Source organism: Homo sapiens, chromosome 8 (genome assembly GCF_000001405.40).
Source record: "Homo sapiens chromosome 8, GRCh38.p14 Primary Assembly".
NCBI lineage: Eukaryota > Metazoa > Chordata > Mammalia > Primates > Hominidae > Homo > Homo sapiens.
Genome location: NC_000008.11, coordinates 117,031,874 through 117,057,380, shown reverse-complemented (window position 1 = coordinate 117,057,380; position 25,507 = coordinate 117,031,874). Strand labels below are relative to the sequence as shown.

At 41.7% G+C, this 25,507-nt stretch overlaps 1 protein-coding gene across 4 annotated transcripts in view; it reads right to left on the bottom strand.

Annotated features, from left to right (window-relative positions):
- SLC30A8 (solute carrier family 30 member 8) overlaps nucleotides 1-25,507 on the bottom strand; it is a 226,498-nt gene that overhangs the window by 119,334 nt on the left and 81,657 nt on the right. Inside the window, exon 2 of one of the 4 annotated variants that reach the window (NM_001172815.3) lies at nucleotides 18,123-18,162. The exons of the other annotated variants lie outside the window; for them this stretch is intronic. The gene's annotated coding sequence lies outside the window, so the exon portion shown is untranslated. The remainder of the gene's footprint in view (nucleotides 1-18,122; nucleotides 18,163-25,507) is intronic. 4 annotated transcript variants of the gene reach the window in all.

The window sequence follows — 25,507 nt, the reverse complement described above, 5'->3', positions numbered from 1 at the left end:
AAGAATTTATTCATCTTATAGGTAATGGATACATTAATTCAATTGTGGTAAGCGTTATACAATATGTATGTATACCAAATCATCACACTGTACGCCTTAAACATGTATAATCTTTATTTGTCAATTATACATTTTAAAATAAGTAATAAGTATTTTTAAATGGTCTCAGGGAGCTTGTTTGTCCTTTCCACTTTGTGAGGACACAGAAGATGCCATCTCGGAATCAGAAACAGACCCTCACTCGACATCAAATTTGCTGGCTCCTTGATCTTAAGAGTTCTTAGCCTCCAGAACTGTGACAGTTAAATTTCTGTTGCTGATAAGCTACATGGTTTATGGTATTTTGTTATAGCAGCCCTAGTGGACTAAGGCAAGTGCTATCCTCATTATACAAGTGAGATTCTGTGGCTCAAAGGTTAATATGACTTGTGTCTGAAATCACACAGAATGGTATCAGTATTACTAGTGAAACTCTAGTCCACTTCCTGTGACTAGAATTCTAGTCCCATCACTCTACAGCAATGCCTCCCTATATTTGGAAACATCTAAGAGTGGCCACCTATTTCTCCAAGCAGTGAACACTGCATCCAACAGGGAGAAGAGTATCTGAAAAAGACCATGAAAGCATAAAATTTTATTTTCCCCAAAGGGCTTATAAGTGGTCTGTTGCTTCTCTGTCCCCAAAAACTAAATGCAAAAAATATGTGTGAATTTGCATGGACAAGGACACCCTCCTTGACCAGGCTTTAGTTAGACTTCTCTGGTCCCCCTTCTCAACTAGACCTCATCCTGGGACTGCAGTTCTTAGCCTACTGAGCTCAGTTTTAGAAAAAGAAAAAAAGAAAGAAAAAGAGAAATCCATGCTTGTACTTATCCTGGGACCTACCCAGCCTTTTGGGATCAGGATGGTGGCTGCTTAGGGAGGGTAAACACAGACCCATGCCTTACAATAGGGACGAGGAGTGGTAAAGGTCCCCACAGCGCGAGCCCTGACTTTGGCCAGAAGCCTTTCCTCCTTAAAGCTACTGCTGTGGTGATGGAAAGTGAGCAGGGAAAGGGAAGCAGCAAGAGAGTCCCCACTGATTACATCATGTTGGACAACAGTAGGTGGCAATCACAGGAGGAGATGGGGAGAATTGTGAGTCTAGAAATGCTGTGAACTTGAAGGGCCGCTCTGGACATTATTAATTATACTGCCCTTGGTCAGATGTTACACTATAATAAGCAGACATACTTTGGTAGCATGGGGAAATCATCAACCATCTTTACTGGAGGAGTTAAGCCAACAGAAACAAGCTACCTAGAGATGTTTCTCTGTTATAAGCACAAATGGACTGCACAGACAGTGGATGTTTCACACACACAGAATTCATTTCTTAAAACATTTGTTGCTTGCTTTCCAGATTATCACCATTTATGGGCATGGAATTATTGCAAAAGTTAGAAGTAGTCAGACCACCAAGAAAAGCATCTGGATTAGCCAAGTCTGCAGATCCCTCTTCATTTGTTTCTGTCTTAATTTTGCTCTTTTTCTTGACTCCAGCTAAGAATGATGGAGCTACTTCACTGACTCATTTTATTATCCAGGCCTTACACTTGGAACTGTAGCTATTACTGAAGGACATACACGTGTAAATTCTCTATACAAACACTCATTATATTAGTGGTCATCTAAATGGTTTCCATTATTTCATTACTTCACGTGGAATGTTCAAATGACCACAAGTTCTACTGAACTGGAAATATAATGATGATCACATTAGGGTAAGAATACACAGAATATAGAAAAAGAAATACTCATTGAAGAAATATCAACAAGAAATGTAGACTTTAAGTGACATTTGTAATCTAAATCAAAATGACATTATCCAAGGAGCTGGAGAAGGGCCCCCGCTGGTCCTAGGATTGCTGTTGTTGATACGTGAAGTCATGCTATGCAGCCCAGCAACTGCTGCTGTCCCTGGGGGAGCCAAGTTAAGATTTGCTTCAGTAGCTGTAATTTAAGAGTAAGGACACTGGGAGTTGAAACCGAGCACTCCACCAGCATATAACCAAGGAGATTTCTATCCACATTGCAGAACCTTTGGGCTCATGCCACAGCTTTTCTATTCTTTGTCATCTTTTTCCAATTAGAAAACAGACCAAGTAGAAGGAAATGATCACCCACCAGCTCTATCTGAAAATTATCAGTGCTGAGCCCCTTTGTGAACTTTCTGAGCTCTGCTCCCTGGAGAGGGACTGGTAACCCCGCACTTTCAAGCTCTGATTGAAGCTCATTATCATCAAAATGGTTTGGTAGTTCAATTTTATCCACCCATTTCACAGATGGTCAAGTTAAGGTCCAGTGAGGTTAAATAGCGAGTGAAGCCTCACAGCTACTGAGTTGCAAGATCTTTTAGCTGGAGACCAAGGTCTGCCCTTTTTACACTAGAAACCATTTGCTCTCCTTTATCAAAAAAAATACATATTTTCAGAGAATCAGAGAGTTAAGTTTAAACATGTCATATGACTTTTAGGGCTCTGAATAAAATGTTCTGTGGAAGCCACCTGAGACTTTGGTAGCTCATGGTTTTTGTCAAATTATTGAAAACAGATTTTTCTGACTCTGGTTAGCTCTGGGAAAACTTTATTTTCCTTATCCTCTGCAACCCTTTATCATTTTTCTGGAATACCTCATATCAAAATGATATTCTACATACCTCTGACAATTTCAACCCTTCCCCATCATGATTCTAATCTCACCATGTAAGGGAGGTGGGTGGGGGGTGGGCTTCTTACCAGTCACAGCTAGAAACTTGTTCAGTGCTAATTAGTGCAAAAAGGCAGGGATTTCAGTATTCTTCTGTATGTTTGCACATTGATGGTGACAAACTGGATACCATTAAGAATCACATACCATTTGCTCTCATCTGTTACTTCACCTACAAAATGATGTTCCAACCTCACAGGGTTAAATCAGATGGTAAATGCAAAGAATTTAGGCTGGGCACAGTGGCTCATGCCTGTAATCCCAGCACTTTGAGAAGCTGAGACAAGGGGATTGCTCGAACCCAGCAGTCCAAAATTACCCCAGGCCACACGGCAAGACCCTGTTTCTACAAAAAAAAATTTAAAAATAGCCAGGTGCGGTACCACACGCCTGTCGTCCCAGCTACTCAGAAGGCTGAGGTGGGAAGATCACTTGAGTCCAGGAGATCCAGGCTGCAGTGAGCCATATTTGCACCAGTGCACTCCAGCCTAGGAGACAGAGCAAGGCCCTGTCTCAAAAAAAAAAAAAAAAAAGATTTTTGCAGTACATTTAGTGTATGTTCAGTGCCTGTTAGCTATTATTTCTCATTAAATATTCTCACATATCTGTAATGAATCATTATTGCAACATAATGGAAAGAGCATAGATTAGAGTCAATTCAGAGGCTTGGGTTCCAGTTGTGAATCTACCACTGAGTGCTCACTTCCATAACTCTGAAATACCTCCTTCCTCTCTCTAGTGTGAGTATTGATACTTGTTCAGTCTTCTCTAAGTTATAGGAAGGATCAAATATGCTGGTAGTTTTCAAGTTCATTTCAAAAACCTAAAAATCCCTGCCTGCAGGTATCACTGACTATTTCAGTTGCTCTTATCATTAAGTCCCTGCTGTATGCAGCACTATGCATGCATTGCTTTCATATGAGAGGGTGTGGGTTGTGGTAGAGAGAATGTAGCAAACTTTGGCTTCAGACAGAAAAGGGTTCAATCTCAGTTCTACCATGATTTGCTTGTCAGAGCCTCACTGTCCCCATTTCTTCAGTGGGGCTAATAAAGACTATTATAATAGACATTCCTATAATAGCTGGGCTGGGGCTCGGGCTCGGGCTCAGACATCCAGGAAATGGTTCTTCCATCCATACAGATGCATCCCAGGATATGGATCTGAGCAACACGGCCTCTGTTTTCCGTCTGCACCATCTGTTTGCAAGAGACACAGAGAAAACTTGAACCCAAGTCTTTAAGTGGGCTTTAAATACATGTACATGCAGACATGATTCTCTGAACGGATCTGAGAATGGGTGGAAACCAGACGATAGGAAAATAAGGATCCTGAAGGGAAAAAAATCTTAGTAAATGAGGAAGACCACTACTAAGCACAACTGAACACTAAGACAGGAGGCTTCAGCCAGACACGGTGGCTCACGCCTCTAATCCCAGCACTTTGGGAGGCCGAAGCGGGCAGATCACGAGGCCGGCAGATCACGAGGCCAGGAGATCGAGACCATCCTGGCTAACACAATGAAACCTCATCTCTACTAAAAATACAAAAACTTAGCCGGGCATGGTGGTGGGTGCCTGCAGTTCCAGTTACTTGGGAGGCTGAGGCCTGAGGCAGAAGAATCGTTTGAACCTGGGAGGCGGAGGTTGCAGTGAGCTGAGATTGCACCACTGCACTCCAGCCTGGGCGACAGAACGAGATTTCGTCTCAATAAAAAAAAAAAAGAAAAAAAAGGAGACTTCACATACTTACATTACCCTGAAATGAAATTCAGAGATAATAAAACCTCATGTTTTTAAGAAACAATAAAAATGGCTTAACTATAATATGAAGGAGAAATAAAAAGAAAAGTAATTTATAGTAAAATCATTTGCAATTCAGAAAGAGCTGGAGGTGATAACACCAGGAGATTAAATGAAATAAGCATAAGCTCATGCCTCTATGTAGAATCCCAAGGTTACGATCCAGCTGAACCACAACTCTATAATATTAGCAACTAACACACCAGGAATGGTGTTGCTACTGGTGAAATAATTTTCTGAAATGAACAAATCCTGATTATGTTCTGAGTAAGATAAAAAAGGTCATGTTCTCTCAGTGTATGCAGTGGCTGCATTCTTAGAAAATTCAGAATACTGTGTTAAAACTGTACCTAAAAAATGTATTGTGCTGATACAAAACATAGTTCATTCCCAGGCCTAATTAATGGTAAATATGTTTTTTCATCTAATAAATGCCTAGATGCAGATTGTGTTAGTCCATTTGCATTGCTGAGGAACAAAGGAATACCTGAGGCTGGGTAATTTATAAAGAATAAAGGCTTGGCTGGGCGCAGTGGCTCATGCCTGTAATCCCAGCACTTTGGGAGGCCAAGGCAGGTGGATAACCTGAGGTCAGGAGTCCAAGACCAGCCTGACCAACATGATGAAACCCTGTCTCTACTAATAATAGAAAAATTAGTTGGGTGTGGTGGTGCACGCCTTTAATCCCAGCCACTTGGGAGGCTGAGGCAGGAGAATCGCTTGAACCCGGGAGGCAGAGGTTGCAGAGAGCCGAGATGTCACCATTGCACTCCAGCCTGGGTGACAAGAGTGGAACTCCGTCTCCAAAAATAAAAAATAAAATAAAAGAGGCTTATTTGCCTCTGCAGGCTGTACACAAAGCATAGCGCTGGTATGTGCTTTTGGTGAGGCCTTAGGAGGCTTACAATCATGGCCGAAGGTGAAAGGGAGCCAGCATATCACATGGTGAGAGAGGGAGCAAAACAGAGTGAGGAGGTGCCAGGCTCGGTTTTTTTATTTTTTTTATTTTTTTTTATTTTGAAACAGAGTCTCATTCTGTCGCCCAGGCTGGAGTGCAGTGGCACGATCTAGGCTCACTGCAAGCTCCGCCCCCCGGGTTCACACCATTCTCCTGCCTCAGTCTCCCGAGTAGCTGGGACTACAGGCGCCTGCCACCACGCCTGGCTAATTTTTTGTATTTTTAGTAGAGATGGGGTTTCACCGTGTTAGCCAGGATGGTCTCGATCTCCTGACCTTGTGATCCGCCCGCCTCAGCCTCCCAAAGTGCTGGGATTACAGGTGTGAACCACCACGCCCAGCCCCAGGCTCTTTTAAACAACCAGCTCTCACATGAAGTACCACAGCAAGAATCCATTCATTACCATGGGGTGGACACTAAGCCGTTCATAAGGGATCTGCCCCCTTGACCCAAGCATCTCCCATGAGGCCCCGCCTCCAACACTGGGAATCATATTTCAACATGAGTTTTAGAGGGGACACACATCCTGTCTCACACATCAAAGGGTTTCTAGCATCTCTGTTCTAATCCACTAAGAGCTTCCTCATCATTGTGATAACCAAAATGGCCCCATAAATCTCAAACACACTCCCTAGAGGATGATTGGCCAACGAGTCAGTACAATTTTAACAAAATAATAAAACTATAGTAATCAAGTAACTTCCTAATCTGTTCCTTTCTCTTGGCTCCATTTTCATTCCAGAAATCCTAGGCCACTTTTTCTCTTTCTGTCTCTACTTTTAAATCAAATTATCTTTTTAGATTATACTCTGACCACTTTGAGACTCTTATTTGACCAGAATATTACATCTCTTCTCAGAACCTTTCATCCACCACAAGTGGTTATTAGAAACCTATTTATCAGTAACTTTAGCTCCATTTCGCAGAAGAGAGACTGAGGAATCAATCAGGTGGCTCATTCAAGGGCATGCCACAACCTGCCTGCAGGGGTTGACCAGAACCTGTATCTCTCAGTGACCCCTGAACTCCTTTGCTCTTCTCCACTGTTCCTTCTACTTCCCTCTTGGACTTGTGACTTCATTCCTTTTTTAAGGAGTGAGTAGGAAAGCAGATAAAAGCTCAAATCACTGTTTTGCTCCTTGTTAATTCCTCTAGTAAAAAATCAGTCAGCCAGGCGTGGTGGCTCACGCCTGTAATCTCAGCACTTTGAGAGGCCAAAGAGGGCGGATCACCTGAGGTTCAGGAGTTCGAGACCAGCCTGGTCAACATGGTGAAACCCGTCTCTACTAAAAATACAAAAATTAGCCAAGCGCGGTGGTGCTCGCCTGTAATCCCAGCTACTCTGGAGGCTGAGGCAGGAGAATCACTTGAACTCAGGAGGCAGAGGTTGCAGTGAGCTGAGATCATGCTACTGCATTCCAGCCTGGGCAACAGAGTGAAACTGTGTCTCAAAAAAAAAAAAAAAGAAAGAAATCAGTAGTGAAGAAGAACCCCGAAATCAGTTTCCATTAATCCAAGCTCTTGCTCCCCCTCATTTGCATGATTAATTGCAATCCAGCTCTTAGAGGACTGCGAGCCACCACCAAGGCTACTGCTCTATAGAGAGCAAATCCATCTCTGAACCTGCTCAAGTGTTTGAGGGGATGATGAACACACTAGACGTGATCAAGCAGAGCCGGGCCACAGACTCGTTAGGTCATGGAACAAGGCACGCATCATGCCTCCTGTCTCCCTGCTTTGCAGAGATGTGGCAGAGAGTGTAATAAAAAGTAATGATGTGGAAGAGAGCATGCTGTTGCCTTCCAAGGGTCGAGTCAGTACAATTTGTGCAAGGTCCTGACATTGTCACTCTTTTTCAGTACAGAAATACTGAATGAAAAAAATACAGTGCCAAAAAGAAAGACACATACCCGGGTCACTTTAAACACTTTAAAATAGATCCCAGATGAGGCATCCCTATATATCAGGAAGATTGTTTTTCAGAGTGAGAGAGGCAGCTTGTGGGGACTGCCACTCGGTGCCACCTCTGTGAGTGACAATGGAGTCGCTCTTCTTAATCACTGTGGGCCATTCTCGTGAGCAGCTATATATCAGCTCTCACTTTTGGAAAAGCCATTTTCTAATAGGGCCAGGGGGCTCTTGCTTATTCTGATAAAGAGACCTATCATTTCAGGAAGTGATTCAAAGGATTTATTTGGTGTTTTCAGAAGGAGAAGGGCACAGTGCCCACCTGGGAACACATATCAGGCAGTAGATAAAGAGGATGGCAGTTCGTAAAAACATTTTCAAAGCTTCCAAATGACTGATGTATTCCTGAGGGCTCTGAAAGTGATGAGGGGAACTTTGCAGCCTCTAAATTGCAATGATTGCAGCTGGGACCTCCTTGGATTGAGAAAGGAGACTTTTAAAGGCTTGACTACAGAGCGTATTCAGATAATGTCATCATCTAAATGGTTGCCTAGCATTGGAGAGGCAATAGAACGTGCTATTTGCAACCTTGGTAAAGTTAAATAATCTCTTCATGTGTTTCTGTAACTACGTATACATCTAATTCATAGGGTTATTGGGAGAATTATATAAGTTGCCAGTGGTTGGCATGTGGGCAACATTATGTAGTGACCACAAGGATAACTAGAACACCATTAAAGGCCAATGCAGGGTAGACAGAATAAAAATATAGCTCTCTACATTTTAACTTGAGGGACACAAAGTCCTGCATACCCCCAAAATCTCCCTACTTGCTTAGTAACTTCTAGTTTACAAAGCCCTCATTTTGATCTTATTTAATCCATTCTAAAATGCTATGAAGTTACCCTGTATGATACTAGAAATCTTCAGTCTTTCAAATCAAGATATATGCTTCAGAAAGCTCCCTTTCTAAAATGTCAGTAATGCCAACATTGGTAGAAATTGAACTCTCATCAGTGAAGACAGCACTTTGTAAATCAAGATACATTTCTCTTCCTGCTGTGCTCATGCTTACCCTGTAAAAAGAAATGGAATTGAGATTTTTTTAATCCAATCGGGAATGTTGCAAGGGTAATGATCTTAAAATAACACAAAGTCTTATTTTTGGCAATGAATGTTATGTTTTTAGGCCAAAGACTTATTGTATTCATTCATTCAACAAATACTTGTTGAGCACTCATGCCAGGCACTTCTGCAGGCTATAGAACACAATAGTCAGCATTTTTGTTTAAATATCTACAATATATTGAGCCATCCTACTAAACCAGACACAGAAAGAAAATTAGGAAAAATAAAGTGAGGCTGTTTTATGGACATTGAAAATGATTGTAATCAGCAGGATCTAGTGATAAATGAAGCAATTCAACCAAAGGATGGGAAGCATAAATTGCTTACCGTGATAGGTACATAAAGATGCATTTTTGAACAATTATGGCAATTAAAGCACTTGAGATAAAATGTGAGGGATATACGAGGGGAGTATAAGAATAGAACATATCTAGATGTTATTCTAGGCCTCTTTCCTCCCCCACTATACACTACCTGCCAGCTCGTCAATCCTGTTCCAACAGTCATTGGGTCACTGATCTCCTGAGCTTAAATCTGATGAACACATTCAATTCTTTCCAGCCTGATCAGTCCCACTGAACACATGCCATATGACCATCCTTGGCACAGAATGCTACTAAAGTCAAATTGTTACCAGAAAGGGGTCCCAATCCAGACCCCAAGAGAGGGTTCTTGGATCTTGTGCAAGAAAGAATTCAGGGCAAGTCTGTAGAGTAAAGTGAAACCAAATATAGGAAAGTAAAGGAATAAAAGAATGGCTACTCCATAGACAGAGCAGCCCCAAGAGCTGCTGGTTGCCCATTTTTATGGTTATTTCTTGATTATATGCTAAACAAGAGGTAGATAATTCATGCTTCCTCTTAGACCATATAGAGTAACTTCCTGATGTTGCCATGGCATTTGTAAACTGTCAAGGTACTCGTGGGAGTGTAGCAGTGAGGAATGACCAGAGGTCACTCTTGTCACCATCTTGGTTTTGGTGGGTTTTGGCTGGCTTCTTTACTGCAAGCTGTTTTATCAGCAAGGTCTTTTGACCTGTATCTTGTGCTGACCTCCTGTCTCATCCTGTGACTTAGAATGCCTGTCTGGGAATGCAGCCCAGTAGGTTTCAGCCTCATTTTAACGAGCTTCTACTTAAGATGGAGTTGCCCTGGTTCAAACGCCTCTGACGAAATGACCCCTAAAGATCTGTGACCAGAAGATCCACTCTCCTATCCTGACCTTTTTTACTTCTCAGCTGTAAAGGTTAGAAAGGACTATATGTAGTCCTTTCCAAGGTCACCTTACCTGTTGGACTTGGGAGTTGATGTCAGTCACCTTGAAACTGTACTCAATAATAATCCTCAGAGGAGTTATCAGCCTCTGAACCTCCTGGACCAGGTCAGACTCAAAAGCATTTTTGCAAATATTATTTATATTCCATTCCCTCTAGTTTGGAGGAAGAATTAGGGATAGAGCTTGAGCTTTAAATCAAATCCAGGACCTGTCACTCAACGGCCTTGTAGTCTCAAGCATATTTCTTCAAGTAGCTGAGCCTTGGTTTCCTCATGTACAAAACAAAGACAAGGCTGCGACCCTCACAATATCATGGTGAGGATTATATAAGAGAATACGTGAGAGAATACTTTTACCAAGGTTGCCAGACATGACTACATTACCCATCCACCCACACTCCCTCCAAAGGAAAACTCCCTCAGTAGTCCCTGCTAATGCTATTTAGCCTGTCTAATTTCCATTCCTGTGATCCGAGATCCCGTCTCCCACTCATCCACAGTGACTAAACCAAGGTGGTCACCTGAGCCAAAAGCAGGCAATCCATGGACCAATCAGCTATCATGATGGCTTGGCCTGGGTCAACATTCAAACAAACAAATGAGCAAGCTGAGCCAATCAAATTCTTCTCTTTGGAATTTATTACAAATTTAGAAAAAGGAGAGGCTGAGATAGTTAATAACAAAGAAAAAAGTAAAAGGAAGCTAATGGCTGCTTTAGTGCAATGGCAAGCTAAAGTCATGGGAAGGCATAATTTATGAGCAGGCAGGAAATCCGTAGAGTGGAAATTGAGAAAGACAGCTATAGAAAGAGGCAGACAAAGCAGACATGCAGAGAAAGAGAAAGATCTTGAGAGAAGGACACAGCTTCGTCTTAGTTCCTGAGCCTTCTGTTCTGATTCTATGTCTCTAAGGGGATTCTTAGAATAGCCTCATTTTTATTGAGATAACTTGGGTTGAACAAAAGAGGTCTGATCAGGCATTCAATAAATTTTAGTTCCCTTGCCTTATTTACTTATTTAGTTAATTATTTGTCTCATCACTTATTCAGGCACCTATTCTTTAATTTATTTACTAAGTTAAATAACTCCTGACCACCTACTCTGTGTCAGGTATATTCTATCTGCCATATTTGTACTGAGGGCTTAACTTGTATCCTTCCCAAATAACATGTTTGGAATTATCTGGGCATTAGGGAAGGGGACAAGACGCATGCAGAAGTGATCCTAATGGTGAGAAAGATGTTTAGAGAATTAGTGGAAGACTTATCAAATTGTCTGTGGCGGTGGGGGGGTCCACCCCTCTAATTCTGAGCAGCATCAGCCCTGCTAGCTCCAGCATCAGCCCCAAAGCCAACAGTAAACTGCCAGGCTTAGGTTTAAACTTACATCTTCTTGTATTTCTCTCAACATGCCTCAAGCGGGATTTGGGGAGGAACCTTCACAACCTCTCCCTCTGATCCTGCCCTTCATGACTCGAGAAAGTGTGTTTCTTTTCCCCCTGCTCATTCCTAAGGCTTTCTCATATACCATCATCTGTCACAAGGATGTTGACAGCCCAGCATAAGCCAGCTTTAATTCTATGGGATATTTTCTTCTGTCAGTTTTAAAAAAAAAAAGAAAGAAAAAAGAAGGGGGAAAAAAAAAAACAGTCTGCCCAGGCTCTCCTTGAAAAAGGGTAAAGAACCAGAGGCAGAAAGAGACCATGCCAGAGATCCGCGGGGCCATCGGCTGGTCTGAAGAGGTCGGTAAGTTCAGATTCACGTTAGTGTCCAAATGTTAAACAAACAGATGGCTTGTCACATGGATGTTTACTAGCCTCACAGCTCTGCACTGGCCACGCTTTGAAAGGACTGCTGCTGCGAGCAGAGTATATGTCAGGCTTTTACCCTGCAGTCACCTGGAGTCAGCCCACCTAGGTCACGGACTCCAAGTTGCTTCTTCAAATATGGGAGTGGGAGCCCGTGGCCTCTGTTCAGTATTTCCAAACCTAACAGACACTGCCTGTTTATCCACAATAAAACTGCACAAGCTGCCAAAACATCCAACTTCTTTGCTTTGGGCTGGAATGATATTAACCCAGGCTAGCTGTGTTTGTCATTTCTCAGTTTCCAGAAACCAAAATTGACACTTAGGGGTCTCTTTGATGAATACCAAATAAACAATAAATTAACTGCTTTTTTTAAAAAAAGGTAATTTGTTGGATCATAAAAAACCTTTCAAGTACGGTGGGGGAACGATGAAATGGAAGCCTGGTGAGGAGAAAGATGGCAATATTCTTCCCTGATGTTATAGAGCATCTCAGCATTTCCTCCATCCAGATTGTAAAAGGTTCCTCCACTAGAAAAACCAGAACCTTCCTTTAGGAGAAGAATAAGGCTAATGGTCCATATTATTACCCTCCAACATGCTTTAAAAGGTCAAATCGTGGTTCCATCAAAGCTGGGCTGGCTCCCAGTTACACCGCTGAAAGGATGAAATTTTGCCTTTTCCAAAAGAAGGAGGATGCAGAAGGCAATGCTGTCAGTAGAGAAATTAATTCCTGGCAGGCCAGTGTTAAATTCCCTACTGGAATCCCTGGCTCGCGTTTGTTTAATGCATCTTGTGGATGGAGCCACGAGAAGCACAACAGCTCGGAATTTGCAGCTAGTTCTGAGGCAGAAGGCGCCTTCTCGCCACAAGATGGCAGCAGGAGCCTGCGTTTGAAGCCAGGGCTCCGCGGTCCTGCAGCAGTATTTCCCCCACCGCCCAGGAGGATCTGATTCCCCGAATTTTAACCAATTGTGTTACAGCTTTTGTCTCCAAAAGGACAGAAATAGGTTTTCTCTTTCCCTCTAATTGATTTTAAGTTTCCTTTTGTTCAAGCTCTGCTAAAAAGAAGAGAGCCCTATTTTTCAAGACGTCTATTAAGTGGGCCAAATAATTATACCCCAAAGATAAACCTTTTCTCTGAAAACCACGCTCAATATTTGCTCTAGAAGCAATGCTTGTGCTCTGTCAACCCGCTGACACGCCTTAGGGAAGCAGTCGACCCCCTGGGGATGCTTTGGCTTTCTCCTCCAAACCCAGTTGTTGGCTGATTGAACAAGAATCATCTGCTGGGACGCGTCCTCTGGGGACTGGTGGGCGCGTCTAAAAAGGTGATAAATTTGCCCTTTGGTTTCCAGGCCTCGTTACTGGATTCTCCATCACCCTTTTGCAGAGAATAACATCACCTAATAAGGACAAACAGCCTCCAATGTGTACTCAGTCATTTGTCCAATGAATAAACAATGTTACCGATTTACTAGTCTTCCTTCCATACTGACTTTCTGTTGCACAGCAGCCCCAGAAACAATGGTGAATTCTTGGCCTTTGTGTACGCGGATACCCCTCTGCCTGAACACTTTACCCCAGGCTCTTCACTTGGGTAAGACCACTACCTCCTCAGTCCTCAATCTAAATGTCACCTCCTTTGGATAGACTTGTCAAGGCCAGTTCTAATGAGAGTCCCCTCACAAAGCTCACATCACATCCTACGCTTCCATCATTACAGTTCTTCCAACACTATATAATAACTACTAGTTGATGGATCATCTCTCCCCAAAGAATGTAAGCTCCTCAAAGGCAGTGTCTCCATCTGACTTAGTTTACCTTATAGCCTGTAGCTTAAAGTTGCCTCCTCAACACTTATTGAATAAAATAATTGCAGAACTAAAAAACATACTGAAATTTTTGAACTTACCTTTTCATATAATGTAACTATGAATTCTACCTACTGTTTTTTGAGGTATCTCATTTACGTGGATTTCAGTACGCCATTTTCAACCCAGGGTGGTGGTGGGGCAAGGCAGGTGGAGAGAATTATAAATGGAAAATGTTGAGAATTGCACAAATCTCTGAGTAGCTCACAGGCACATGTCACAATATTATCCGTATTATATTTTTCTATGGGGGAAAAGTGTCTGGTGTCAGACCTTATGGGATCAAGTTAAAATACCCCTGTTTTATAGTCAAGTTATTCTGAAATCTGACCCTATCTTTATCAATCACCTTTATCACCTGTGTGGTATCTCCCCAACCAGGAGTATCTCTCATTTTTCCAAATACATGCCAGGCTTCTCTCACTTTTGTGATTATTCTGACTGCCTGACATACGATGACTTCCCTGGTGTCTCTCTATTCACGCACTTCCCACTCATCCTCACAAACCCACTCAAGTTCTCTTTCTGCCGGAAGCTTCTCCTGACCAACGAAGCCCATGCTGATTTCCTGTCTCTGAAAGTCCACAGTTTGGAGGGTCTGGATCCAATGTCCTTGGTTTCTGTAATTCAAATCACAACTTGATAAGCTCTAGCATGCTAGAATCCCAAAAAACAGGCTCCATGCTAACTGGGAGTGAAAACTCTACATTTTTGCTTTTTCTCTAATTATATACTGTCTGGAAACTTATTCTCCCCAACCAAAAAAATATAAGCTGCTCAAAGAAAGCTTTATGTTATATATCTTTGATATCCTGCAGGGTTTCTGATATGATCCTAAGCATAAACCCTCCATAAAGGTTGATTCACATAAGTAACCCTGTAAATTGACAGATGAATAGTACTACATTAGCCTGGGCGCGGTGGCTCACGCCTGTAATCCCAGCACTTTGGGAAGCCAAGGCCAGCGGATCACCTGAGGTCAGGAGTTCGAGACCGGCCTGCCCAACATGGTGAAAACCCGTCTCTACTAAAAATACAAAAATTAGCCGGTTGTGGTGGCACATGCCTGTAATCCCAGCTACTCGGGAGGCTGAGGCAGGAGAATCGCTTGAACCCGGGAGGCGGAGGTTGCAGTGATCCAAGATCATGCCACTGCACTCCAGCCTGACCCTGGGTGAAAAGAGCGAAACTCCTTCTAAAAAAAAAAAAAAGCACTAAATTCATAGCCCCCAAATCTAGTATTATTTAGCCTATTCCAAGTCTCAGCAGGCTGTTTCCCAGAGGATGACTCCCAAAGCAGGACTTTAAATGTAAGGAATAAAACAGCACCGGCTTCCTTGGGTCCAGACCAGATAGTACCTGAGGATACATTTCCCAAACCCCGCCCCGCCTCACATACACAGATACATGAAAGTCTGCAAAATCCAGTCTGATTTAGGCATTATCCAAATAACCCTGCCTGTTACCAAGATAGTCACTTAATTATGGTCCATTTCCTGAGCATTCAACCAGACGAAAATGTAAAGTGCCATGACTGCTTCTGCAGAGCTCACAAATTAAAAACCTTGAGGTTTTCTGCAGTTTCCGAAGCAAAGCCAGAAAAGCTGAAAGATGACTGATATGGTTAACACATTTATTGGCATTAGGACATTGTTATTTTATTGCTGATATCAGGGTGACATCATTTTTCATAAAGACATCATAATGTCTTTGAATGTCATAAAAGGTGAAATTCATTCTCATGAAAATTAAAGAGAATATTGCAATGCTTCAGTCAAAAGGGGACTAAATGATACAGAAGATAAAATGTACTGGCTTTAAATTTCTGTCCATAAACCAGGAGTGAAACTAAAGATAATTAGGATAGAGATGAAGACTGTAATAACCTGGAATTAGTTTAGGCATCCCTCTAATCTCATTTATTCATGGCGTAGAACTATTCATTGGGAAATCTGTTTTCCTTCATTGGCCAATATTTTAGCTGTCTACTGCCCAAATGAAAACACCGAATGGCGGGATGAAGAGGCTGTAACTGAAATGTATCTTATTGAAGACGGCAGAAGCAACTCACTTCTCACTAAAACACACAAGACCTAGGACCTAAAGCAATCAATGTGTCAAGTCCTTTGCTCAAAATGTTTAGACTCTCATTCCCTCAACCATCAGAATTTTTTTTATTTTTTTATTTTTTTTTTGAGACAGAGTTTACCTCTTGTTGCCCAGGGTGGAGTGCAATGGCCTGATCTCAGCTCACTGCCTCCTACGCCTCCTGGATCAAGCAATTGTCCTGCCTCAGCCTCCCGAGTAGCTGAAATTACAGGTGCCCACCACCACGCCCAGCTAATTTTTTGTATTTTTAGTAGAGACGGGGGTTTCACTCTGTTAAGCAGCCTGGTCTCGAACTCCTGACCTCAGGCTATCCACCCGCCTTGGCCTCCCATAGTGCTGGGATTACAGGCGTGAGCCACCGTGCCCAGCCCGCCATCAGAAATTTTTCAGGGCAAATTCTAGAATCTGTCACATACAAATTCCTTTTTCAACCTGCCAAGGTGATGAAACTCGGAAAGTGTTTAGGAATTCCTTTCTGCTATATGTCCAAATTCCATTTCTTCCTCTTCTCCACCCCTCCCTCAATCTGAGCCCCACTAAAAATTCCTTCTGCTGCCAAGTGCCTTAGAAAACCTTTACATTATTTATTTTTTCTGTGGATTCATTGTGTGTTGGAAGCCTCAGAAGAAGCTGAGTGCATAGTTTCAGGGCAATAAAACAGTCAGAGCAAATGGCAAACTGTTTGGTTTGGCACCGCGGAATCCAGCATGCATCTGTGCATTCCTCCCTGTGTGGCTGGAAACCTCTCAAATCTGGTCCTCAGTTTATCTCCCTTGGGTGACTGGTTCTTTGGTTACTCTATGGGAGAAAGCCCCTAACAGAAATGCAACATCATGGGCCAGTGATTCCCCATTTTCACGTGCATATATGTCTCTTGGGGGTCTTGCTAAATGTAGATTCGAATTCAGGAGATCTATGTATAGGGGTTAAAACTCGGCATTGCTAAGAAGCTTCTAGATGATGCTATGAAGCTGGTTCATGGATTACACTTTGAAATGAAAGGCATTAGTTAGCTCATCTTCAATACTAGATTGAGCTTCCTGCAATTGTCAGTGCTTACGCTTGCCTTCATTAAAACAAATTTGAAATTAGTCCAATTCACAATGCTTGCAAAAATGAATTCATTTCATTACCATTTTGATCCTGTATTTACTTGGAGGCAAAATAGGTATTAATTAATCCGGGGAATGAGGTGGGTGAACAAGGAAAAATTCTTTCATCTTTTTACTTAAGCATTTTTCATTCTCACTTTCCAACTATATATTTTGCTTCCTTGTTAAAGTAGCTAATGCCATTTTCCTCTTGCAGTTTATTAAAAAGTGCATCTTGGCTAAGTACAAATCAGTTCCAGAAATGTCACTGAAGCCCGTGTGCATCAGGCACAAGGATTAGACAGAGCATAGTTTTGCATGGCCTGTTTTATTTTGCTCACCCAAAAGGAATCTCATGTTCATTCCAACCCAGATGTCATTTGGGGTAATATTATATAGAAATTCCAGTAATTAAACTCACTAAACTATGACCAGCTGACATTAACCCTATTGTTAGGTCGCAAATTGCTTCCTTCTCTTGTATGAGAAGATATCTAAGAGCTCCTCTGTATTCCGAACTAGTCACAAGCTCTCAGGAAAATGACCTCTGAAGACAAGGGCTCAGAAAGTCACAGTGATCAGAAAGAAATTTGTATGTGTCTGTAAGTGTAATGTCCACAGGCATATGTACATACACAGGCTACGTGAGATGGGGGAAGAAAAACAGTGAACTTGAATTTCAGATGTTAGCACAGACATATTAGCATCATGACCTAAAGGAAGTATCCTCTCCTTGAGGGGAAAGCTCGGGGGGAGGAGAAGATAATTTATCAAAAGGCCTAGAAAGGTCTAGAGGTCAGAAAAAAATCAAAAGCTATAAAAAATGGCACTGGAAACTCTGTCCTGCATCTCAAATAACAGTTAAATAAATGTATCTACTTTCTACACACCTACTATATGCATGCTAGTCACAAACATACAGAAAAGCTAAAAACATAATAAAAGCAAGATATTATTCAGCTATTATTCACTGATGCCTCCCACTAGGAGTACAAACCATTGCCCTCAAGGGTCCACTTGGATAGACAATATTGTGAAGGCCTCAACAATGTCCTCTTCTGTCCTTGAAGAGACTAAAGCTCAGTTGGAGGCACTAGTGAAAGACAATTACATTACAAGACTGTCTGTATAAAGTATGGGGCAGAGCCTAACGTGACTACAGGTATCAAAAAGGATTCATGAGTAGAATGGGATTTGAGCTGCATAGAATGTGTAGCAGAAAAAGAAGCACCAGAGCTGAGTAGAAATATTTGCTCATAAGGATATTTTTATCTATTAAGAAAGATGTAAGCCATTAGATATATTATTAGAAAAGAAAACAAGTAAAACAAAATTTTAATGAAAATTAAAGAAAAAAATAAAGCATACTACCAAATTTATACATATTGATCTCCCTCTCACACACACAGAGTAAATATAGATATACCTAGGTACTGTGCTGTTGTCAAGAAAACACGTCTTCTCTCCTGTAAGAGAAGTAAAAAATGAGCAACTAAACTGAAGGTGGAAAATACATCTTATTCCCTTTTCGAGCTTCAGGATCCAGCAGGGGTCTGGTTGCAGTAGGTGCACAAGACTGTCTGAATGATAAAGGAATAAATCATCATTTATTATTTGAGATCCAGGTCAGAAATGAGAGTCTCCACGAGTATTTCTGCATCACTCTCCTGAATCTCTCTGCTGTTTCAGCTGGCACTGCCTTCCCTTCCTCCTTGGCAGTTCTACAGCCTTGACAACTGCACTTAGGCATCTAACAACAAGAAATGATTCATAAAGCATCTTCAGAGATCCTTTGAAAACACCAAGGCAAACACTTGTGGGATGGTTGTGATGACCTAACAACAAGCTATCTTTTAGTTTAAAATCATCTTATTGGTTACCCAGGGGAATTGTGAAGAATACAGAAAATGCTTCAGATTGGCCAAAGTGTGGAGCATCGAACACTCTCAAGCATGGTTGATAGAATGTCTTCACATTTCTAGAGTACGATTTTACTCTACCCATTGCAAATTTAAATTCATATACCTTTTAACACTTCCACCTCTAGTGATTTTTTTCTACAGCTATGTCCACATGCACAATGATCTACGGATGAAAATATTTATTGCAGTATTGTTTGTAGAAGCAAAATACTGAAAACCTAGTAAATGTACATTAGTACAGGAATGGCCAAATGAGTTCTGGTGTGTTCATCTAATAAAGACTATACAATCAAGAAATAAAAAAGAAACCATCTCCAAGATCCATTGTTAAATTGAAAATAAATCAAGATATACAGCAGCAGATATCATCAGTGGTTTCAAAGGAATGCATACACACATAAATTATTGTTAAGTGCATAGAACTTATTTTTAAAGATGTACATATCGATCTCTGGTGTTTTGGAAAAAATAAAAATAAAAAAAGATGTACAATAAGCTAGAAATAATAATTGTCTCTGGGGAAGGGAAATTTGGGGGCTAAAAGAGAGGCTTAACTTATCATGTAAACTTTCTTGTATCATTTGCATTGCTTTTACCGAGTATCCATATTAGTTTTGAAGAACAATTTTATAAAATTACTGTTTAGAGAAATAGAAAAGCTTGAGGGTATTTAGATACCACATTCGGCCTCAGGATGGCAGTCTAGTTCTTCCATTTTTTTCATTACCCTAGCCAGAACTTAATTTGGATTTCCTCTGCGTGTTCTCTAACTTCACCTGCAATGTCTGAATCTGCAGTGAATTCAATTATTAAGGAGCTACTTCCCCAAAAGGAAGACTTTGGTTTTATTCTATTTAATCCACTTGATCATTTTCTTTTCTAACTTTCTCTCTCTTTTAAATGCTTACCAGCCCAATCTTGCCTCCCTTACCACAGAATGCATCTGCGGAAGTGAAGTTTTCCAATTACTAGCTTGATGGGTGGTCAGTTTCCAGAATCTTTCCCTGTCCAGGGAATCCCATTTAGACACCATAGATGCATATGCCTTGTTTTCTCATTATTCTAAGTGGTGTTTTTATTTTATTTTCTTTTTAACCCCTATTCCTCCAGCTGTATCCACTATATAGTGAGTATATTATTCTATACCAACTCTGTGGGAGGGGGAGCTTCTCAATGGTACATTTTATCTCAAAAAAAATTGTAGAAATATCCATAGAGTCAAAGTTGTCTTCTCTGGCTTAAGCGGTGGGTGAGGGGGGCAGTGGTATGGTGACTCCCCTGCTCACGTATTCATCCCATTGCCTACCTACCCTTCCTCTCCATTCTCCTCCAACCCTATGGACAATTTTGCAGGATCACCAAAAGGTGCTAGGATTCCACAGTTAGTCTTCGAAAACCTCTAATCTAGAGCAAGAAAAGCTGACAGTATGGGAAATCTGCTCAAGTCAATATTTTCAGAAAGAGGCAGTTATTATGGTGAATAAGGAGAATGTAGATCTAGGATTTAGGTCTTCTAATCTGAGCTACAGAGAATGCCTAAAACATTTTGTGCAGCAGCCTTCTAGGAAAACCACAGCACATTAGTAAAATGGCAGCTAAACAGATTCCTGCCTGCCAAAAAAGAATCTATTTTTTTAAAGGTGAGAATAGAAAGAATTTTAATTTTTCATGATGCCAAGAAAATGTTACAAAGGTTATACCTACAAAGCCTGTCTTCCTAACATGAAAAAAAATTTAAAAATTGATGTGCTAGAAAGCTCTATTACTCACATCTCTCTTTCTCTCTCTCTAATCCCAGGCAGGGCTAAGACAGACATGGTTCCAATGGACAGCTGCCTTCTAAGGCAGAAAGATTTATCAGAAAGTATCAAGGCCTTGGAGCCCAACTAGGCTCAAATTCCAGCCTTGCCATAAACTTGGGCATGCTACTGGGCCACATCGAGTCTCAGTGATATGGTTTGGCTCTGTGTCCCCACCCAAATCTCATCTCACACTGTAATACCCACATGTCAAGAGAGGGACCCGGTGGGAGGTGATTGAATCATGGGGGTGGTTTCCCCCATGCTATTCTCGTGTTAGTGGGTGAGTTCTCATGAGATCTGATGGTTTTATAAGTGTTTGACAGTTCCTCCTCCACACACTTCCTCTCTTGCCTGTCGCCATGTAAGACGTGCCTGCTTCCCCTTCCGCCATGATTGGAAGTTTCCCAGCCATGTAAGACCTCCCCAGCCATGTCGAACCGTGAGTCAATGAAACCTCTTTTCTTTATAAATTACCCAGTATTGGGTAGTTCTTTATAGCAATATGAGAACAGACTAATACAGGAAATTGGTACCAGGAGTTTGGGGCTCTGCTATAAAAATACTTGAAAATGTGCAAGTAGCTTTAGAACTGGGTAACAGGCAGAGGCTGGAACAGTTTGGAGAGCTCAGAAGAAGACAGGAAGATATGGGAAAGTTTGGAACTTCCTAGAGATTTGTTGAATGGTTTTGACCAAAATGCTGACAGTGATATGGGCAATTAACTTCAGGCTGAGGTGTTCTCAGATGGAGATGAGAAATTTATGTTTAAAAGGGATGCAGAACATAAAAGTTTGGAAATTTTGCAGCCAGATCATGTGGTAGAAAAGAAAACCCCATTTTCTGGGGGGGGGAATTCAAACTGGCTGGAGAAAGTTGCGTAAGTAAAGAGGAGCCAAATGTTAATAGCCAAGACAATGGGGAAAATGCCCCTAGAGCATTTCAGAGAACTTCACAGCAGCTGATCCCATCACAAGCCTGGAAGAGTAGGAGGGAAAAATGACTTCATGGGCCAGAACCAGGGACACACTGCTCTGTGCAGCCTTAGGACATAGCACCCTGAGTCCAAGCTGCTCCAGCTCCAGCTGTGGCTAAAGGGGGCTGAGGTACAGCTTTAGAGGTGCAAGCTCCAAGCCTTGGCAGCTTCCACGTGGTGCTGGGCCTTCCAGTACACAGAATTCAAGAACTGAGGTTTGGAAACCTCTGCCTAGATTTCAGAGGATGTATGGAAACACCTGGATGTCCAGGCAGAAGTCTGCTGCAGGGTTGGAACCCTCATGGAGAACCTCTGCTAGGGCAGTGTGAAAGGGAAATGTGTGGTGTGAGCCCCCACACAGAGTCCTCACTGGGGCACTGCTTCGTGGAACTGTGAGAAGAGGGCCACTGTCCTCCACATCCCAGAATGGTAGATCCACTGACAGCTTGCACCCTGCACCTGGAAAAGCTTCAGGCACTCAATGTCAGACCGTGAAGGAGCTGCCCAAGGCTGTGGGAGCCCACGCCTTGCATCAGCATGCCCTGGATGTGATACATGGAATCAAAGGAGATCATTTTGGAGCTTTAAGATTTAATGATGGCCCTGCTGGGTTTCAGACTTGCATGGGGCCTACAGCCCCTTTGTTTTGACCAATTTCTTCTATTTGGAATGGGAGCATTTATACAATACCTGTACCCTTACTGTATCTTGGAAGTAACTAACTTGCTTTTGATTTTGCAGGCTCCTAGGTAGAAGAAACTTGCCTTGTTTCAGATGAGACTTTGGACTTGAACTTTTGGGTTAATGCTGAAATGAGTTAAGACTTTGGGGGACTATTGGGAAGGCATGATTGTGTTTTGAAATGTGAAAGAGACATGAGATTTGGGAGGGGCCAGGGGTGGAATGATATCATTTGGCTCTGTGTCCACACCCAAATCTCATCTTGAACTGTAATCCCCACAGTGTCGAGAGAGAGACATGGTGGGAGGTGACTGGATCATGGGGGTGGTTTCCCCCATGCTGTTCTCATGTTAGTGAGTGAGTTCTCATGAGATCTGATGGTTTTATAAGTGTTTGACAGTTCCTCCTACTCTCTCTCTCTTTCTGTCTGTTTCTTTCTCTGTCTCTCACCTGCCACCATGTAAGGTGTGCCTGCTTCCCCTTCTGCCATGATTGTGAGTTTCCTGAGGACTCCTCAGCCATGCAGAACTGTTGAGTCAATTAAACCTCTTTTCTTTATAAATTACCCAGTCTCAAGCAGTTCTTTATAGCAATGTGACAATGGACTAATACACTCAGTTACTCTCTGGTAAAACAAAGCTCATGTTTGTAAACAGCATGGTGTAGTAGTCAAGAGCTTGGAATCTGAAGTTAGAACACCTGGGTTCAAACCCCAGCTCTAGCACCTTCTAGTTGTGCTATGTTGGGTAAGTCTCACCACTCCATGCTTCAGTTTCCCCAACCATAAAGTAGGGTGAATACTAGTACCTGTCTTACAGGGTTGTTATGAAGATTCAATTAACTGTCTTTGGAAACGACTTACTAAGTACTATATAAGTATTTGTTAAGTATTAACACATAATAGCATTATGTAGTAAAATTTAAATTACAACGGACAGTTAAAAGAGGAAATGGTAAGTGCAATGAAGCAGGACTGGATGTGGGAGTATTGGAAACTGATGATTTCCATCATAAGCCCTTATAATGCTTATGATGTGATTGTTTTATTATTGTTCATGTACATGCATTACTTTGATTTAAAAGAAAAAGTTTAAAAAATAAAACCCACAGTACTAGATGTTACATATTAGTCATGTTATTTAATCTCACTGAATCTGCTCCCACTCTCATAAAATCAGGACAATAACCTCACTCATTGTTTATTCTCCTCCTATCTTTTTATTTCTAGGAGGAAACACTGTTTCTGAGTATATAGGACAACTAGCTATGTGACCTTGGAAAGTAATATAATCTTCCACAGCCCTATTTCATCAGAATTGGGCTGACCTCTGAAGTTCTTTTCAGCAATGAGGCCAATGCTTGGTATTTTGTTGCCTTTTTTAGCTTAGGAAAAAATACAAATGTATTACCTTGCAGTTCAGTAATACATGCTCTCACTAGGCCAGAATCAAGGTGATTGCAGGACCATGTTGTTTTCTGAAGACTTCAAGGAAGGTTTTGTTGCTTGCCTTTTCCCACTTCTCAAGGCTGCCCTCATTGCTTGGTTCTGACCTCCCTACATCTTCAAAGCCAGGACCAGCTGATAGAATCCTTCTCCCATAGTATCACTCTGACCTCCTCTTCCACTTTTTATTCCTTCAACCTTCACTCTACTTTATTTCTTTTAATTGAGGTGAAATTCACAAAACATAAAACTAACCATTTCAAAGTGAACAATTCAGGGACATTTAGTCCATTCATGATGCTGCGTAATCACTCCCTCTATCTACTTCCAAAACATTTCATCACCCCTAAAGGAAACCACAAACACATTAATCAGTGCTCCTCATTTCCTGTTATCCTTACTGTCTGGCAACCACCAATCTGCTTTCTGTTTTTATGAAGTTACCTATTGTGGATGTGTCTTATAAATGGAATCATACAGTATAATTCCACACAGCATACTGAGGTTCATCCATGTTGTGGCATATGCCAGCACTCAATTCCTTGTTATGGCTAATAAATATTCCATTGCATAGATACATCATAATTTGTTTATCCATTCATCCACTGATTGACATTTGGGTTCTTTCCACCTTTTGGCTACTTTGAATAGTGCTGTTATGAACATGCTTGTGTATGTATTTATTTGAATACCTGCTTTTGATACTTTTGGATGTATACCTAAGAGTGGAACTCTGTGTCCCATGGTCATGCCAAGTACCACCAAACTGTTTTCCACAGAGTCTGGACCAAATTACTTTTAATTTTAATACATCTGCACAGAACTCCACTCCCTTCCTTCACGTGGCTGCCAATGCTGCCCAGGATTGCAGAGGTTCCTCTGACATTAGCTACAGCAGGAACATTCCACACAAGCAAGACTGCCAGAAATACCTAGATGGTTGACAAGTCTTTTTTCTTTTTTTTTTTTTTAAAGACAGAGTCTCGCTGTTGTCACCCAGGCTGGAGTGCAATGGCGCAACCTCAGCTCATTGCAACCTCCGCCTCCAGGGTTCAAGCTATTCTCTTGCCTCAGCCTCCTGAGTAGCTGAGATTACAGGCACCCACCACCACACCCGGCTAATTTTTGTACTTTTACTAGAGACGGGGTTTAGCCATGTTGGCCAGGCTGGTCTTGAACTCCTGACCTCAGGTTATCTGCCCACCTGGGCCTCCCAAAGTGCCAGGATTACAGGCATCAGCCACTGCACTCAGCCAAAGGTTAACAAGTCTTTCTAAAGAGTTTTAGAATTTTAAAAACTTTGATGAAGCTGCTTTATGACAGGCACATGCCCAAAACATGTTGAGTGTTTAGTGAATGTGAGGAATAGCATAAGGTCAAATAAGCCAACTGGCTTTTAGAAGCTGAAAAATGAAACAACCACAATTTCACAGTCTCTATAAAGTATTTTTTTACATCTTTTTTACACCTTTTTATTCATTTGGCAAAAACTTATTAACTGCCTGCTGTGTGCCTAGCATGGTGAACTGATTACAGAACATGATTCCTGTTTTCAGAGAACTCATGATCTAGCTAAGAAAACAGATGATAAGCAAATAATCATACTAAACTTTGACAAGTACTGAGAAGGGGGTATGTAAAGCATTATGAAGGTTCAGTAGTAGATAGAGAAGTTTACTGTGCCTGAGAAGCTGAAAAAAAAAAAGCATGGCAGGAAAAGAGATTTTCAGCTAGATCACAAAGCATGCGTAGGAATGTGTTCCTCAGAGATGGGCTGAGGCGTAAGGTGCTATAATCAAAGGCTTGGGAGCATACAACCGCAAGATAAATTTGGGGAATCCTTAAATAATCAAGTTTAGAAATAATAGAGTATGTGAAGGTAAGTATGAGGAGTGAAAGTGGAAAGGAAATATCTTACCAGCCAGAAATGAAGGGGATGAAGGGATTTCTGCCAGCATTTGACCATCTCCTTGAAGAGCAGCCCACTCC